At 48.4% G+C, this 16,074-nt stretch overlaps 1 protein-coding gene across 25 annotated transcripts in view, besides 2 other annotated features; it reads right to left on the bottom strand.

The window, feature by feature from the left end:
- Positions 1 to 16,074, bottom strand: part of CUX1 (cut like homeobox 1) — a 467,952-nt gene that overhangs the window by 122,685 nt on the left and 329,193 nt on the right. For all 25 annotated transcript variants that reach the window (NM_001913.5, NM_181500.4, NM_001202545.3 and 22 more), the window contains one exon: positions 2,666 to 2,714. In NM_001913.5, coding sequence (NP_001904.2) covers positions 2,666 to 2,714 — 49 coding nt within the window. The remainder of the gene's footprint in view (positions 1 to 2,665; positions 2,715 to 16,074) is intronic.
- Positions 7,740 to 8,445: an enhancer, noted in NCBI's record as "OCT4-NANOG-H3K27ac-H3K4me1 hESC enhancer chr7:101796109-101796814 (GRCh37/hg19 assembly coordinates)". NCBI's record gives its function as "activates a minimal SCP1, AML or CMV promoter by ChIP-STARR-seq in naive and primed H9 embryonic stem cells {active_cell/tissue: H9 hESC(naive and primed)}" and the evidence as "EXISTENCE:reporter gene assay evidence [ECO:0000049][PMID:30033119]".
- Positions 10,949 to 11,090: a silencer, noted in NCBI's record as "fragment chr7:101793464-101793605 (GRCh37/hg19 assembly coordinates)". NCBI's record gives its function as "represses an EF-1alpha promoter that drives an FKBP-Casp9 reporter gene in an ReSE screen in HepG2 liver carcinoma cells and K562 erythroleukemia cells {active_cell/tissue: HepG2 | K562}" and the evidence as "EXISTENCE:reporter gene assay evidence [ECO:0000049][PMID:32094911]".

The raw sequence follows: 16,074 nt of genomic DNA, 5'->3' as shown, positions 1-16,074 counted from the left end.
TGGACTCAAGCGATCCTCCTGCCTCAGCCTCCCGAGTGGCTGGGACTACAGGCACACTGCCACGCCCAGCTAACTTTTGTATTTTTTATGGAGATGGGGGACTTGTTAAATTGCCCAGGCTGGTCTCAAACTCCTGACCTCAAGTGATCCGCCTGCCTCGGTCTCCCCAAGTGTTGGGATTATAGGTGTGAGCCACTGCGCCCGGCCACCATCTACTTTTTACTCTGGCATTTTACCTCAAATCCTCGAAACAATCTTGCAAAGGAAGCATTAGCTAAATTCCCTTCCTTTCTTTCAAAAAATTTTTTAACATATTTTAAATCGTGGCAAACTACGCAAAGCATAAAATTTACCATCTTAACCATTAGCGTACTTTTCAGTAGCGTCAAGGACGTTTACGTGGTTGTGCAATGAATCCCCAGAATGTTTTCATCTTGCAAAACCAAAACTCTGTACCCATTTAACAACAACTTCGTATTTCCCTCCTCTCCTCGTCCCTGGCAGTCACCGTGGCACTTTCTGTCTCTCTGAAGTTGGCTCCTCTAGATACTTCATACAGGTGGAATCATTCAGTATTTGTCTTTTTTTGTGACTGGCGTATTTCCCCTGGCATAATGGCCTCAAGGTTCACTTTTCTTTTGATTTTTTTATGACCAAGAAATTTAAGAGATTAAGAGACCCGTCAAGGCCACACAGGAAATACCGAGTTAGGAACTGAACCCGTGTCATTGCGGAGCCAGCACCTGTCCCTACAGCCTTGTCTGGTGTCTCCTAAGACTGGGGTCCACCGAGTGGCTTTGGCACCTTGAGAAGTGCATTCGCTTTGCCAAACTTCTTAGGTAGCTGGGGACTGCCTCTGAGACCACAGAGAACCTGTTCTGGATAGAGCACTGATATTCACAGGATAAGGCTCTCCCGTTTAACAAACCAGGCTCTCCTGTTGGGCACATTAGATTGCCCTAAAGTGCCATCTAAAGGCAAGGCATGCCCAAGACTGGCCTTGAGGAGAGAGGTGGAGTCGGTGGAAACTTGAGAAATAGGAATAGTGATCTATGATGAAGGTAACTCCTTCCAGTAACTGCTTTTTTTTTTTTTTAGACAGATTCTCGCTCTGTCATCCAAGCTGGAGTATGGTGGCATGATTGGTTCACTGCAACCTCTGCCTTCTGGGTTCAAGTGATTCTCCTGCCTCAGCCTCCTGAACAGCTGGGATGACAGGTGCATGTCACCGCACCCGGCTAATTTTTGTATTTTTAGCAGAGATGGGGCTTCACCATGTTGGCCAGGCTGGCCTCAAACTCCTGACCTCAAGTCATCCACCCATCTCGGCCTCCCCAGGTGCTGGGATTACAGGCGTGAGCCACTACACCCAGCCCAAGGCTGGGTAGTAAAAATTTATTTTTAAATTTTATTTTGTATTTTTTTGAGATGGAGTTTCTGCTCTGTTGCCCAGGCTTAGATCTTGGCTCACTGCAACTGCTGCCTCCAGGGTTCAAGTGATTCTCCTGCCTCAGCCTCCTGAGTAGCTGAGATTATAGGCGCCTGCCACCACGCCTTGCTAAATTTTGTATTTTTAGTAGAGACGGGGATTCACCATATTGGCCAGGCTGGTCTCAAACTCCTGACCTCAAGTGATCCTCCCACCTTGGCCCCCCAGACTGCTGGGATTACAGGCGTGAGCCACTGTGCCCGGCTGGGGGACCACTTTCTTTTCAGAGCAACAGCAGCACCAGCTAAAGCAAAATGTTTTCCTGTTCTGTGGGCTCCTGGGGGGAGGAAGGGGTTTTGGGGATGGCTGAATTTTCCAGGAAGCAGAGTATTTAGAATCACCCAAAAGTACGCTAATGGTTAAGATGCGTCCTGTGCCTGATCTGGGCCGGACACTGTGCTGGGTACTTGCCATAAGGCCTCTCTGAGCACCAAGTGTCAGCCAAAAAGGGGCCGTCAGCTGAGAGCCCTCTTTGGAGCAAGTGGCTGCGACCCATGAGAACGTGGCGGTAAGGAACTCTCCTAGGATAACACCGTGGTGAGATGTCTACACTAAGGAACTCTCCTAGGATAACACCGTGGTGAGATGTCTACACTAAGGAACTCTCCGAGGATAACACCGTGGTGAGATGTCTACACTAAGGAACTCTCCTAGGATAACACCGTGGTGAGATGTCTACACTAAGGAACTCTCCTAGGATAACACCGTGGTGAGATGTCTACACTAAGGAACTCTCCTAGGATAACACCGTGGTGAGATGTCTACACTAAGGAACTCTCCTAGGATAACACCGTGGTGAGATGTCTACACTAAGGAACTCTCCGAGGATAATTCCATGGTGAGATGTCTACACTGTCATGGATGCCACAGCTACAAAGACGGGTGTTTAGAGATGGAGTAGGGAAAAGGAGACAGTTACCACTTTGGAGGGGATGTTCACCATGGGATGTCTGAGATGTTGGAACCACATCAAAGACTTTGCCAAGGAAATGGTTCCTAGGACTTTTTATGTCTTTTCCTACTTCTCATGACAACAGAAGGAGCATCGACGTTGAAAGCTGTCAGTAAAAAATGGAAGGATAACCGGCCTTCTAACTTCGGGTGACGCATCTTCCGAGATGCCAGAAACGGGCCCGCTATTGTGGGTTTTAGGACTAAAAGCGTCCAGGGTCCTACCTGGTTTGCCCTTTCAAGGTCCGTCATGATCATTTCAATCTCGTCGGCCCTAGGAGGGTGAGAGGGAGAGAGCAGGTTAGTCACAAGGAGACCGGCTCAGGGGGTGACTGATGGGACAGCTTCCTAGCTCAGGGCTCGGGAAGGGCTGTGCAGACCCGTGAGTCAATGCTGTCCAGCAGGAGGAGGTGGGCTCACACTGGGGGAAGAGATGTGCTTGCTGATGCCATGCGCTCTTTTGATAATCATGTGTCTGGTGCGTATGGGGTGCCTGCCTTTGATGGGGTCCCAATCTCATTGGGGAGACATAACCATAAAAATATAAAATACAGCATGTCCTGCCAAGGGTTCAAAAAGAGCTCTGAGCAGAGTGCTCTGAAAAAAAGAGGGAGAAATAAATTCTCTTTGTGGGAGGGAATCAAGGAAGGCTGCAGAGGAGGTGACAGGTAAGTGGGGTTTTGAAGGATGAGTAGAAGTTTGCCAGGCTGGGGGTGAGAGGAGGAGCTGGGGAAAGGCTACTTTAGGAAAAGGCACTTGGCAGTGAAAGCCTCACCAGGAATGAGGAAACCAGGAGAAGGTGGCCAACTGGAGGTGAGGAGGGCAGGTGAGGATGGTGACACAGGTTGGGGGACTGTACAGGCTGCAGTGCAGACAGCCTGGGTTCATTGCTATGGCCCAGCCTGGTCGTAAAAGCAATTGTCCAGGTTCTGTCTTTCCCTTTTTCTGTTTTGAAAGTACTTCCTTGAGTAATCTGAAGGCAAATACGCGAACCCAACACAGAGCATCATGAGAGAGGAATGCGGAGAGTGCTTTTATGTTTGTATGTTTGTTTGTTTTGAGACAGAGCTCTGTCGCCCAGGCTGGAGTGCAATGATGAGATCTCGGCTCACTGCAACCTCCGCCTCCTGGGTTCAAGCAATTCTCCTGCCTCAGCCTCCCGAGTAGCTGAGACTACAGGCGTGCACCACCACGCCCGGCTAATTTTTGTATTTTTAGTACAGACAAGGTTTTGCCATGTTGGCCAGGCTGGTCTCAAACTCCTGACCTCAGGTAATCCACCCACCTTGGCCTCCCAAAGTGCTGGAATTACAGGCATAAGCCACCGCGCCCGGCCTGGAGAGTCCTTTTGAGAAGGGCACGGCCAACTCCAAAAGCCTATGGGAGGTTAGAGCAGCACACCCGGGCAGACCACCACCCCAATGTCTGCAAGCAGGTCCTGAGGATGGTCTCTGTTAGAAGGCCACAGGCTGGAACTGTCTGTGACCCAAGGAAGGTTTTTTTTTTTAGCATACCCAAGGGCCATGGAGCCAATGTTACAGCCACAGGGACCTGGTTGGGGTTGAGGGCTCTCATGCTGTGGCTCTGAGTCCACATGCACCTGCACTCTGCTGCCTTCAGGATGCAATCCCTCCCTCAGCCACACGCAAGGCCCTTCCATGCCAAGGCTCCTTCCTCCTCTTGGCCTTACCCGCCACTCTTTCTCAGGACCCTGTGCTCTAACAACTCCCATCTCGTGCGGGACCCCAAAGAGCCAGGCCTTCCTCGGCACTAGGCCTCCACCTGCGCCGCCTGCCTGAATGCCTTCTCGTCCCAGGGAACCTCATCTCCTACTTCCACCCCATCCACCCTTCCCAGACCCTCTCAGCAGCTCTGTCTCAGGAAGTGGCACTGTCCCTAGTCCTAGTTTCCAGGTTTGAGTTTTCACTGGGTGCCCACGCTGTGAGCTCTCTCTGAATGCTGGGCCATAGGTCCCTTTTGCCCTATATCCCTAGAATTTGTCCTGTATTCACAGGGCTGCACGTCACGTTGGATGCCAGAGTCCTGGATGTGGCCCATCCTGTCTGTGACGGGCAAGTCTACTCCTGGGGACAGCCCAGGGTGCTGGACAGGCCTGACAATGAGAGTTCTATCCTTCCGAAACCTGCTCCATGGTCCCAAGGAGGCACGTCCAAGTGAGAGTACCCACCCACCCTGCTATGGTTTGTCTCCACCAAAACTGCTACTGAAATTTGATCCCCAGTGTGGGGGCATTGGGAGGTGGGGTCTAGAGGGAGGTGTTTGGGTCATGGCAGTGGATGCCCTCATGAATGGCTTGGTGCCATTCTCCTGGCAGTGAATGAGTTCTTGCTCTGACCAGACTTTAGGGACTGGATGAGTTCCCTTGAGACTGGGTTATCATAATGCCAGGAACCTCCCTGGGTTGTCCCTCTTGGCACGCATCCACCTCCCCTTTGACCCTATCCGTACTGTTATGATGCAGCATGGAAGCCCTCGCCAGGAGCCAGGGCCATGTCCTTGAACTTCCCAGCCTGCAGATCTGTGAGCCAAATAAACCTATCTTCTTTATAAATCACCCTGGCCTCAGGTGTTCTGTTGCAGCAACAGAAAACAGGCTAAGGTACACCCTGGACGCTGAGAGTTGGAAAAACTGTCTCCGGGCCCCTGGGCTGGGGAATTTTTGTGGCCTGAGGCTTTTGCAGCCTTTAACTACACACAGCGATTTGAGGTAGTCTTATCAACTCCCAGCAGCCTGAATAGGGTAACAGATGCCTTGTGATCGGGTTCAATGTTCATTGTATCTGTTTGAAATAATATCCGGCTTTCAGACTGGTCTGAGAAAAAGTCTGAAAAAGCCTGTCAAATGGCCTAGTTAAATGAAGCTATTTTTAGGACGATTTCATGAAGAAGGCAGCGTCTCTGTAAGATAAATACCCAAACTGGGCCTCTGCAATACAGTGCTGGGTGCAGGGAGTGGGGAAGGGTCAGGGCTTCTTAAATGATGAAACATCCTTCTGTATCATCTCAAAGTGAAACCTCCAAGATCTGACAGAAAAATTGCTGTGCAAAGATAGTCTAATACTACAAATGGTAATTAAAAAAATTAAAAGTGTTAAGGGTCTTAAAACATATCAGAAAAGGATAATCACCAGTCAATGCAGAAAGCTGCTACCTTGACGCCCTGTTGAAGAATTCAGAGCGTAAACTCCTTCAGACACAAAATAAAAGCTTGCAAACTTTACTTAAGGCAAATTGCAAGGATTTTTTGTGTTGTTTTTTTTTTTCTTTTTGAGACAGGGTCTCACTCTCACCCAGGCTAGAGTGCAGTGGTGTGATCTTGGCTCACTGCAACCTCTGCCTCTTGGGCTCAAGCAGTCCTCCCGCTTCAGCCTCCAGAGTAGCTGGGACTAGTGGTGTACGCCAGCATACCTAATTTTTTTTTTTTTTTTTTTGGTAGAGACAAGGTTTCACCATGTTGCCCAGGCTGGTCTTAAACTCCTGGGCTCAAGCCATCCACCCGCTTTGGCCTCCCAAAGTGCTGCGACTATAGACATGAGCCACTGCGCCTGTCCCAAATCACAAGTTTTAAACACAATTTTGTACTTCAGTTAGTTACCTATCGTGTATTTCCAATGTCCACATACACAGGTCAAAACTGCCCTGGCTACCGTCATTCACTCATTCACTAGCTCCACTAGTGTTTCAGACCCCTAAAAGTTTCCTGGTGCTGGAATGGGCACATAGAGATGCAGGCTTAGGTCCTGCGTATCTCATCTATGTCATAGATTTAAAAGATGACAATGAAAATACATAGCTGCTGCGTACCCACAACAAGATGTGCAGAGGTTGACAATTGCCTAAATCCTCCTCTGAATGCATCAGCAGAGCTGGCTGCAGAACTTGGGAGGTGGATGGGGACTGGTCCGGCTGGTGAGTGAAGAGACACTGAATGTGGGTCTAGGTGAGCACTTTTCCTAATGGCTCCAGTGTGCCCCTATATAAGCCCTCTCTTTCTTTAATTCTGGCTATTTTCATTTGAATACTTCTATTCTGTTTGAGACTACTGTTATTTGGATATTGTTGGCATAGCTACTTCTGTCTTCCATGTCATTTAACTTTTCTTTTATATTTTGCTATTTCTTTATCCTTTTCTTGCTGCCTTCTGGATCAAGGTTAACTTGATCTAACTGGTCTTTAGCTATTTATTTATTTATTTATTTATTTATTTATTTGGAGACAAGCTGGAGTACAGTGGTGTGATCACGACTCAAGGCAGCCTCAGTCTCCTGGGCTCAAGCGATCCTCCCACTTCAGCCTCCCTAACAGCTAGGACTACAGGCGCATGTCACCATGCCTAGCTAATTTTTCTATTTGTTTTTTTTTTTTGGTACAGATGGGGGTTTGCCATGTTATCCGGGCTGGTCTTGAACTCCTGGGCTCAAGCGATCCTCCCACCTCAGCCTCCCAAAGTGCTGGGATTATAGGTGTGAACCACTGCACCTGAACTATTTTCTACTTCCTCTTTCTGGAATTCCTATTAGGTGGATGTTGGAGCTCCTGAATTGATCTCTAATTTTCTTTTCTTTCTAACATCTACATCTATATCTTTTTAGTTACTTTCTGGGAAATATCTTCATCTTTATTTTCCAGGCTTGTGTTGATTCTTTTATTTATTTACTTAAAAACATTTTGTTTATAGAGATGGGGTCTTGCTATGTTGCCAGGCTGGTCTCGAACTCCTGAGCTCAAGCAACCCTCTGGCCTTGGCCTCCCAAAGTGCTGAGATTCCAGGCATGAGCCATCAGACCCAGCTGGCAATGTATCCTTTCTTCTTTGCTCCTAAGTTATTCAATTTTTTTACGCTGTTACTTCCACTTGGTCCATTTGAAAATTACCTGTTGGTTTCGCTTCACACTGCCAATATCTTCCTCTGTTTCCCTGAGTGCCTTTGTGGTGCTTTGTCTTTGTGGCCCAGCTGTCCTGCCTCATATCACACCCACTGTTGGGGTCTGGGTGTGTCTTTCAGAAGCACTGCCCTCCTCTGGGGCCCAGCTGTTTTTGCTTGTGTGTTTGGGTCCTCCAGGGATACCAGCCGCTCTTTCTGGCAATGTACACGGTGGGAGGACAGAGAAGCCAGCCCTGCTGCGTGTCTCTCAAGCGAATTGAAGGAGAAAAACACACGGTAGGCATTCAATGCCTTTCTGCCGAACATAGGAAGGAAGGGAAGGGGATGGCCCCCATCTCTGAGATGCCTTGCCGATGACTCCTCCCTGCTGCTTGGCAACCAGGAAAACCCTCTGGCCAGGTAGCTTACTTAGCCTTGACTCTTCCGGGAGCAGCAGCAACAGGAGGACACCGTCTCCCTGGGTGCAGCTCCCTGATCTTGGGAGTGCGGAGCTGAAAAGCTGGAGGCGTGGCTGCCTGGGGGTGCTGGCCCGCCCCTGGCTGCTTTCATCCACTCCTCACTTGCGACCTGGTGTTGCCAGTGGCCAAAGGCCCAGGCATAGAGAAGAGCAAAGTTCCAGGGGCCCAGCTTTACACAGAGGCCGGCTTGGCAGGGCTGGGGTCCATGTGGGTCGAGTCCAGTTCCTGCCAGGTTTATGGGGCCTGGGTGGGGCTTGGGCACCTCCTGGAAAGTGCACACTCTCTGGATTTCTTCTCAGATAGCACATGGCTTTGGATTTTCATCAGGACACCGAATATCCGGAAAACCACGCCTCATCTCCAGAAGATTTCACATCATTTATAAAAAAATCAGTCCCACTGACGCGGGAAGGTGCAGACTTGGCAGTGTGAGGCAATCCTGGAAGTGAATTTCAAGTTTTCCATCTCCTGGTCAGTTGTGCTTTGGTTACTAAGCAACTGCTAAACGGACCAAAATACTGAATGTGATAACAAGGACTGCACTTACCTTTCATGACAAAAGCAACTCTCTTTCCCCAGGCTTTCGAATGACAATGACGACACCACACTCTGCAGTTGCAGGGCAGGCCTATTCCATACCAGGGATTGTGGTGACAGCCAGGCTCGGAGGGGCTGCTGTCTCCATTCACAGAAGGGACCAGAAACCACAGGAGGAGACAATGGGAGGAACCAGGGATGCAGTTGGCGAGGAAACGCTCTGATTATTATTTTAAAAGTCGGCCAGATGCAGTGGCTCATGCCTGTAATCCCAGCACTTGGGGAGGGCAAGGCAGGTGGATCACCTGAGGTCGCGAGTTCGAGACTAGCTTGGCCAACATGGTGAAACCCCGTTTCTACTAAAAGTACAAAAATTAGCCGGGTGTGGTGGTGCATGCCTGTAGTCCCAGCTACTTGAGGGGCTGAGGCAGGAGGAGCATGAGCCAAGATGGTGCTACTACACTCCAGCCTAGGTGACAAAGTGAGACCCTGTCTCAAAAAAACAAACAAACAAAAACAAACAAACAAAAATCTGTATGTTTGTTACTCATTTTTCTGAGAATTCTTTTTTATTTTTGATACAGGGTCTGGTTCTGTTGCCCAGGATGGAGTGCAGTGGTGCGATCATAGCTCACTGCAGCCTCCAACTCTTGTCCTGAGCTCAAGTGATCCTCCTGCCCCAGTCTCTTGAGTAGCTGGGACTTATAGGTGTGCACTAGCAAGCCCAGCTAATTTAAAAGAAAAATTTGTTTTTTAGAGACAGGGGTCTTACAATGCTTCCCAAGCTGGTCTTAAACTCCTGAACTCAAACAATCCTGCCTTGGCCTCCCGAGTAGCTGGGACTACAGGTATGCACTGCCACACCTAGCTAGTTTTTTCTTTTTTGTAGAGACAAAGTTGATCTTGCTATGTTGCCGAGGCTGGTCTTGAACTCATGGCCTGAAGCGATCCTCCTGCCTTAGTTTCCCAGAATGCTGAGATTACAGGCCTGAGCCACTGTGCCTGGCCCATTATTAATTTTTCTAAGGAGGTATTCTTTTTTAAAAGCCGAAAGAAAAATACAACTAGCTGAGTAAGTGCGATCGGGGGCTTTGGAAGATGTGAGTGTGGCCATCAGTGTTTGCAGACCAGGACCAAGGAGGCGGGTCTTGCTTTGGGGCACCTCCCAACCAGGTTTTTTTTTTTTTTTTTTTTTTTTTTTTTTTGAGACAGAGTCTCACTCTGTCGCCCAGGCTGGAGTGCAGTAGCACAATCTCAACTCACTGTAGCCTCTGCCTTCCCAGTTCAAGTGACTCTCCTGCCTTAGCCTCTCCCAAGTAGCTGGAATTACAGGCACACCCAATCACAGCTAATTTTTGTATTTTTATTTTTATTTTCTGAGATGGAGTTTCGCTCTTGTTGCCCAGGCTGGAGTGTAATGGCATGATCTCAGCTCACTGCAACCTCCATCTCCTGGGTTCAAGCGATTCTCCCTGCCTCAGCCTTCCGAGTAGCTGGGATTACAGGTATGCGCCACCACACCCGGCTAATTTTTGTAGTTTTAGTAGAGACGGGGTTTTATCGTGTTGGCCAGGCTGGTCTCGAACTCCTGACCTCAGGTGATCCACCCGCCTCGGCCTCCCAAAGTGCTGGGATGACAGGCGTGAACCGACGCGCCCAGCCCCACCCCAGTCTTAATCATCCACTTTCTCTCCAAACTGCTGCCTCCTCCCCCCACTGAATTAATCCTGCCTGACAAACTGTCTGCAATAAGTAATACAAAAATGCCCAGGGGTTAATACCACAACTGTAAATGTAATCTTGGAAGCGCAGTAATGAATTAAATGGCATGTGGTTTCATGGTGTGAGTGTCAACAGTATTCCAAAGATTTTTCATTCTCTTCATGCTGAAGGCTCAACTAACCACATCAGTATCTGCAGCCTGACATTGGTCTAAAATCATTTATTTTCCAAAGTCTGTAATAACCGCACATATTGTTTGCTCAGCAAAATGATTTATTATAAAAATTTAGATCTCTCACGTTTTTATGAGCTGACGAAACAGCTTCCACTGATCTATTAACCTGCCCGGTATTATGCTCAGCTCTGACTTCAAATAGCGAATAATTTCAGTTTGGCCTAGAATATGTAGTTCGTTCAATCAGTTCACCACAGATCATTTCAGGGTATTCTCTGGGCTAACACACAGTTTTTATGAGGAACTGAAAAGGACATGGTCAAGGTCGATGGAAGGGAAATTATATCCACGCTGGAAATTCTAGTATTTACTTTCACGCAAGCCTCCTGGGGGCTAACGCGTGGCATCGGGGCACGGTGTTGGCGCATATTTCAATACCCAAATAAGCACGCTGGCATCAGGAGCTGTTAAAACGAGCTGTTAAAACAAAGTATATCTACAAGGCAGTTGGAAAAACATACAGAGCGGCCTTCAAAGACTAGTGTATCTTCTTAGACTTGATTCATAAGCCAATAGTCTCGGCCGGGCCCAGTGGCTCACGCCTGTAATCCTAGCACTTTGGGAGGCCGAGGTAGGTGGATCACTTGAGACCAGGAGTTTGAAACCAGCCTGGCTAACATGATGAAACCCTGCCTCTACTAAAAATACAAGTATTAGCCGGGCATGGTGGCGAGCGCCTGTAATCCCAGCTACTCGGGAGGCTGAGGCGGAAGAATCGCTTGAACCCCGGTCACAGAGGTTGAAGTGAGCTGAGATCGTGCCACTGCACTCCAGCCTGGGTACCAGAGCGAGACCCTGTCTCAAACAAAACAAAACAAAAAAACAAAGAAAACAAAAAAAACCCACCAATAGTCTCAATACCAGATCATAAAGTTCTTTGGCATTGAAAGGAGAAATATCTACAGATTAATTCTTCCTGCTTTAAAAGAAAAGCTCCAGTTAGGTTTGATCAAGCGAACTCTCCCCTTCTACCCCAGGGCTGCACGTGATGACCTGCTCTGTCCTTAAGGGGGGACATTTTTCACCACAACCTACACTGCAGGTGAGGCTTCCTTAGCACAGGGGGTAGAGGAAACGGACAGAGGTGGGGCTCGCTGGACCCTGTCCAGAAAGAGCAGGTTGCTGAAGCGGTGGAGACAGGGCCAGGCTCTGAGGAAGGTCACTTGGCTCTAGGTCTGGAATCCCCTTAACTCGGGGGGTCAAAGAGTTGGGCAAGGGGTGGGGGACAAACCTATAGGAAAAGCTGATCGGAGCACAAACGCCTGAACTTACGGAGAAGGGCTGGTCTGCAGTCTCATGCGAGCCAGGGCAAGATTACTCCCAGCAAAGGCACCTGCTGTGGCTGTCGTGCCCTGATGGCGATGGGCCCAGCTCAGACTGAGACAGGGAGGTCTCCCACCAATAACGCCCATGGGGCACCTACCATGAACCACACCCAAGGGAAACAAATGTCCCAGGGGAGGAGTGGGCAATGGCGTAGTGGCGCTGGGACTCCCTTCTCGCTAGCACACAGGAATACACCCTGCACATCCTAGGAGCTCAGCAGGGATATACCGGGCATGGGTGGGTGGGTGGGCAGGGACCCCCTTCCTGTCTACCCAGTGGGAGGCGGAAGGAAATGGCAGCCACCAGCGATTCAGCACAGTGACATCCCAGAAAGTGGTACAAGGGCCTCTGCAGACACCAGGAGAAACAGTATCCCGGAGTAGGGGACATCCAGTCTGTACCCTGGAGGATGAGTACAGATTTACTGAGCAGGGGACACTGGGATAGAGAGGTACGGCTGTCTAGAGAGAGAGGCCACAGGGAAATGGAAGCCTGTTCAATTTTGTAACAACTTTTCAGTGGCTCTCTCGGGGTTGCGAGGCATCCTGTGACCACATCTGCAAATAAAGACGGCAGAGTCTCTTCCCACACCCTTTGAATATTTCTTATCTCACGACAGAATACTACTCAGCCCTAAAAAGGAACGAGTTAATGACATTCACAACAACCTGCATGGGAGTGAAGACTATTATTCTAAGTGAAGTAACTCAGGAATGGAAAACCAAACATTGTATGTTCTCACTCGTAAGTGGGAGCTAAGCGATGAAAATGCAAAGGACTCTGGGGACTTGCGGGGAAAGGGTGGGAGGGGGGTGAGGGAAAAAAGACTATATATTGGGTGCAGTGTATACTGCTTAGGTGATGGGTGCACCTAAATCTCACAAATCACCACTCAAGAACTTACTCATGTTCTTGAGTAATATATAATATATATATATTAATATATTATATATATATAACACATACATTAATGTGTAGTTATATATAAAATACATTATATATATACATTTATTAATGAAATATCCAACTATATCCCTATTTTATTAAGATTTTTAAAATAAAAGATGGGCATTTCTTTGTTTTTTGTTTTTTTGTTTGTTTGTTTTTGATACGGAGTCTTGGTCTGTTGCCCAAGCTGGAGTGCACTGGTGCAATCTCAGCTCACTGCAACCTCTGCCTTCGGGGTTCAAGTGATTCTTGAGAATGCCCCAGCCTCCCTAGTAGCTGGAATTACAGGTGTGCACCACCACGCCTGGCTAATTTTTGTATTTTTAGTAGAGACGGGGTTTCACCATGTTGGTCAGGCTGATCTCGAACTCTTGACCTCAGGTGATCTGCCTGCCTTGGCCTCCCAAGGTGTTAGGATCACAGGTGTGAGCCACCGTGCCCAGCCTCTTTAGTCCTGTTCTGTTTCTTGGAAGCACCATGCTTGTCCCACCTACAGGCCTGGGTCTCAGCCCTCCTGGCCCTCCTCTGAGAGGCCTCTCCACAGCCACACTCTCCATTGTCCATTCATTTTGTTTCTGTTGCATTTATTCCCGTCTCAAAGTCTCTTGTTCATATATTGATTACTTGCTTATCCACTGCCATAGTTCCAGGGAACACAGCAGGTACTCACAAAATACTGGTTGACCAAATATGCAAATTTATTTATTTATTTATTTATTTATTTTTGAGACGGAGTCTCGCTCTGTCACCCAGGCTGGAGGGCAGTGGGGCGATCTCGGTTCACTGTAACCTCCGCCTCCTCAGCCTCCCGAGTAGCTGGGAGTACAGGCATGCGCCACCATGCCCGGCTAATTTTTCTATTTTTTTAGTAGAGATCAGGTTTCATCATGTTGGCCAGGCTGGTCTCGAACTCCTGATCTCCAGTGATCCACCTGCCTTGGCCTCCCAAAGTGCTGGGATGACAGATATGAGCCACCGCACCGGCCCAAATATGCAAATTAATGACACCTGTGATACCTGAGGTCCCCTGTCTTCTTGACAGACAGCCATTCACTGGCTAGTATTCTAAAGGGCAGAAAGGGTAGAATTCTTTTGGCAAATTGTAAATACAACTTTTAAGGAAAGAGCCTACAAGATGTTATTGCAGAAGGAAAATGATTCGCTTTTCAGAGCCTCTGAAAAACAAGGCAATAATAGTCTTGGGGGAGAAGTATTGAAAGACCCAGAATTAGGCTTCTTTTTGTCCAATGGACCGTGAGGTCCTGGAGTGCAGAACCAGGTGGCCCAGCTCACCACTCATCACTCATCCCCGTGCCCAACACGGATCTGTGAACCAGGTCAGGACTGAAGACACGGAGGCTGATGGGGAAGGGGAGGAGGGGAGGAGAGAGTGTTTTTCGGGGAAAGGTTTTCTTGGCAGCCCTCATCTGTATGACTTGCCCTATCTTTCGTTTTCCACCCAAGGTTAAACCACTTCTGCTTTGGCAGAAGTAGAGGGGAGGATGAAGCCATCTTGCATCTGCCAAGCCCCGGATCAAATGTGTCACACTCCACGGTGGCCCCACCCCTCCCCAATCAAAGGCCTGGAAAGAGAGTCGGTCCAGTCTGTGGAGCTTTATCCCTACAGATAACCTTCTGGAAATAGCGGTTTTCATTTTTGCTGGAAGTAACACTGTGCCGAGAGACAGTTAAACGGCCAGGATGTCACCTCTGTCTGCTCAGAAATTAACCAGAATTTGTTCTCTGTAGATTACCATTATACTAATTTAAATGATACAAAAGTAATGATTAAAAACAAGTTTAGGCCAGGCGCAGTGGCTCACTCATGTAATCCCAAGCACTTTGGGAAGCTAAGGTGGGTGGATCACTTGAGTTCAGGAGTTTGAGACCAGCCTGGCCAACATGGTGAAACCCCATCTCTACTAAAAATACAAAAATTAGCTAGGTGTGGTGGCGTGCGCCTGTAATCCCAGCTACTAAGGAGGCTGGGGTGGCAGAATTGCTTGAACCTGGGAGGTGGAAGTTACAGTGAGCCGAGATCACGCCACTGTACTCCAGCCTGGGCAACAGAGTGAGAGTCTGTTTAAAAAAAAGAAAGAAAGAAAGAAAAAACAAACCAACGAACATAAGAACGAGTTTGGTTAAGCCTCATCTTTTCAATCCCAAACGGGAAGAAAATTTCCCTTCCTGCCCCACAAGTTGACGTGTTCATGGGAAACGATTTCAATAAAATCTTCCTTTAGCCAGTCCGAGTATAGCTGATGAACCGAACGAAATGACCTTCTACGGCACGTGCGGGGTCAACTTTCTACCTGTGCCAAACCAATAGCACAGCTCTGGCCGGCTGGGTGCTCACCAGAGCGTGTGACCCCAGCGTGATCGGGAACAGCCTGTGACTGTCACTCGGGCTTCAGTCATCTCCAGGCAGGGAACATGGGACAGCTGCGGCCCAGGGAATGAGGCTCTGATATTGCATAATTCATTCGGCTTCTGCTCCTGAGACCGCACAGTGCCTCCAGGGATGAGCATCTGGGTTCATCGGCGGCTGCTTCCTGCATCTCTCTAGAGTTCTAACAGCCCTGCTCTACCCAAAGAAGTGGAGAGCAGGCTGGGTGTGCAGGTTCCTTTGTTCTTTAAAATCAAGTGAAATTAGGAAAATTGTGGTCTACAGAAAAGAGTGTGGCTGGTGGAAAATGGGTTGGAATTCTTCTCCACTGCATTTTTATTTTGTAAAAATTTTTATTTATTTATTTTTGAGATGGAGTCTTGCTCTACTGCCCAGGCTGGAGTGCAATGGCACGATCTCGACTCACCGCAACCTCTGCCTCCCAGGTTCAAGCAATTCTCCTCCCTCAGTCTCATGAGTAGCTGGGATTACAGGAGCCTGCCACCATGCCCAGCTAATTTTTGTATTTTTAGTAGAGGCAGGGTTTCACCATGTTGGTCAGGCTGGTCTTGAACTCCTGACCTCAGATGATCCACCCACCTCGGCCTCCCAAAGTGTTGGGATTACAGGCGTGAGCCACCGCGCCCGGCCCTCCCATTGTCTTTTAGTTGTTTGACCTTGGACAGACTTCTGAGCTGGACAGTCACCTATACAGGAGGAGCCATGAAATTCAAAGAAATTAGCATGAGGATAAAACAAGAACACAAAAAGAAAGGAAAAGATTTTGTAAACCACCAAGCTCCATGCCTGGATTCATTATGATTGTGTATCAAAGTCAGGACCTTTCTCTTCTGGTGAGCGCTCACTTCCAGTACCTGACACCATCGCGAGATCATCACAATCACCCACAAAGGGGCTTTTGGCCAAAAACTTCTAGCCTGAATCTGATCAAGCCTCTAGATTCAACCACAAATTTTCAGGAAAGCATGAGGACAGAGGAGCATGATAAACTATTTCTGGGGAGGCAATCAGTAAAATCTCAGCAGTGGGGTGGAGAATCTTTTCTGGACAAATGACCCCATTTCTAGCACAAATACATTGCAAGGAAAAGAAAAA

The sequence above is a fragment of the Homo sapiens genome, chromosome 7, assembly GCF_000001405.40.
Source record: "Homo sapiens chromosome 7, GRCh38.p14 Primary Assembly".
Taxonomy (NCBI): domain Eukaryota; kingdom Metazoa; phylum Chordata; class Mammalia; order Primates; family Hominidae; genus Homo; species Homo sapiens.
The sequence above is the reverse complement of the archived record's forward strand: the minus strand, read 5'-3'. Positions and strand labels throughout refer to the sequence as shown.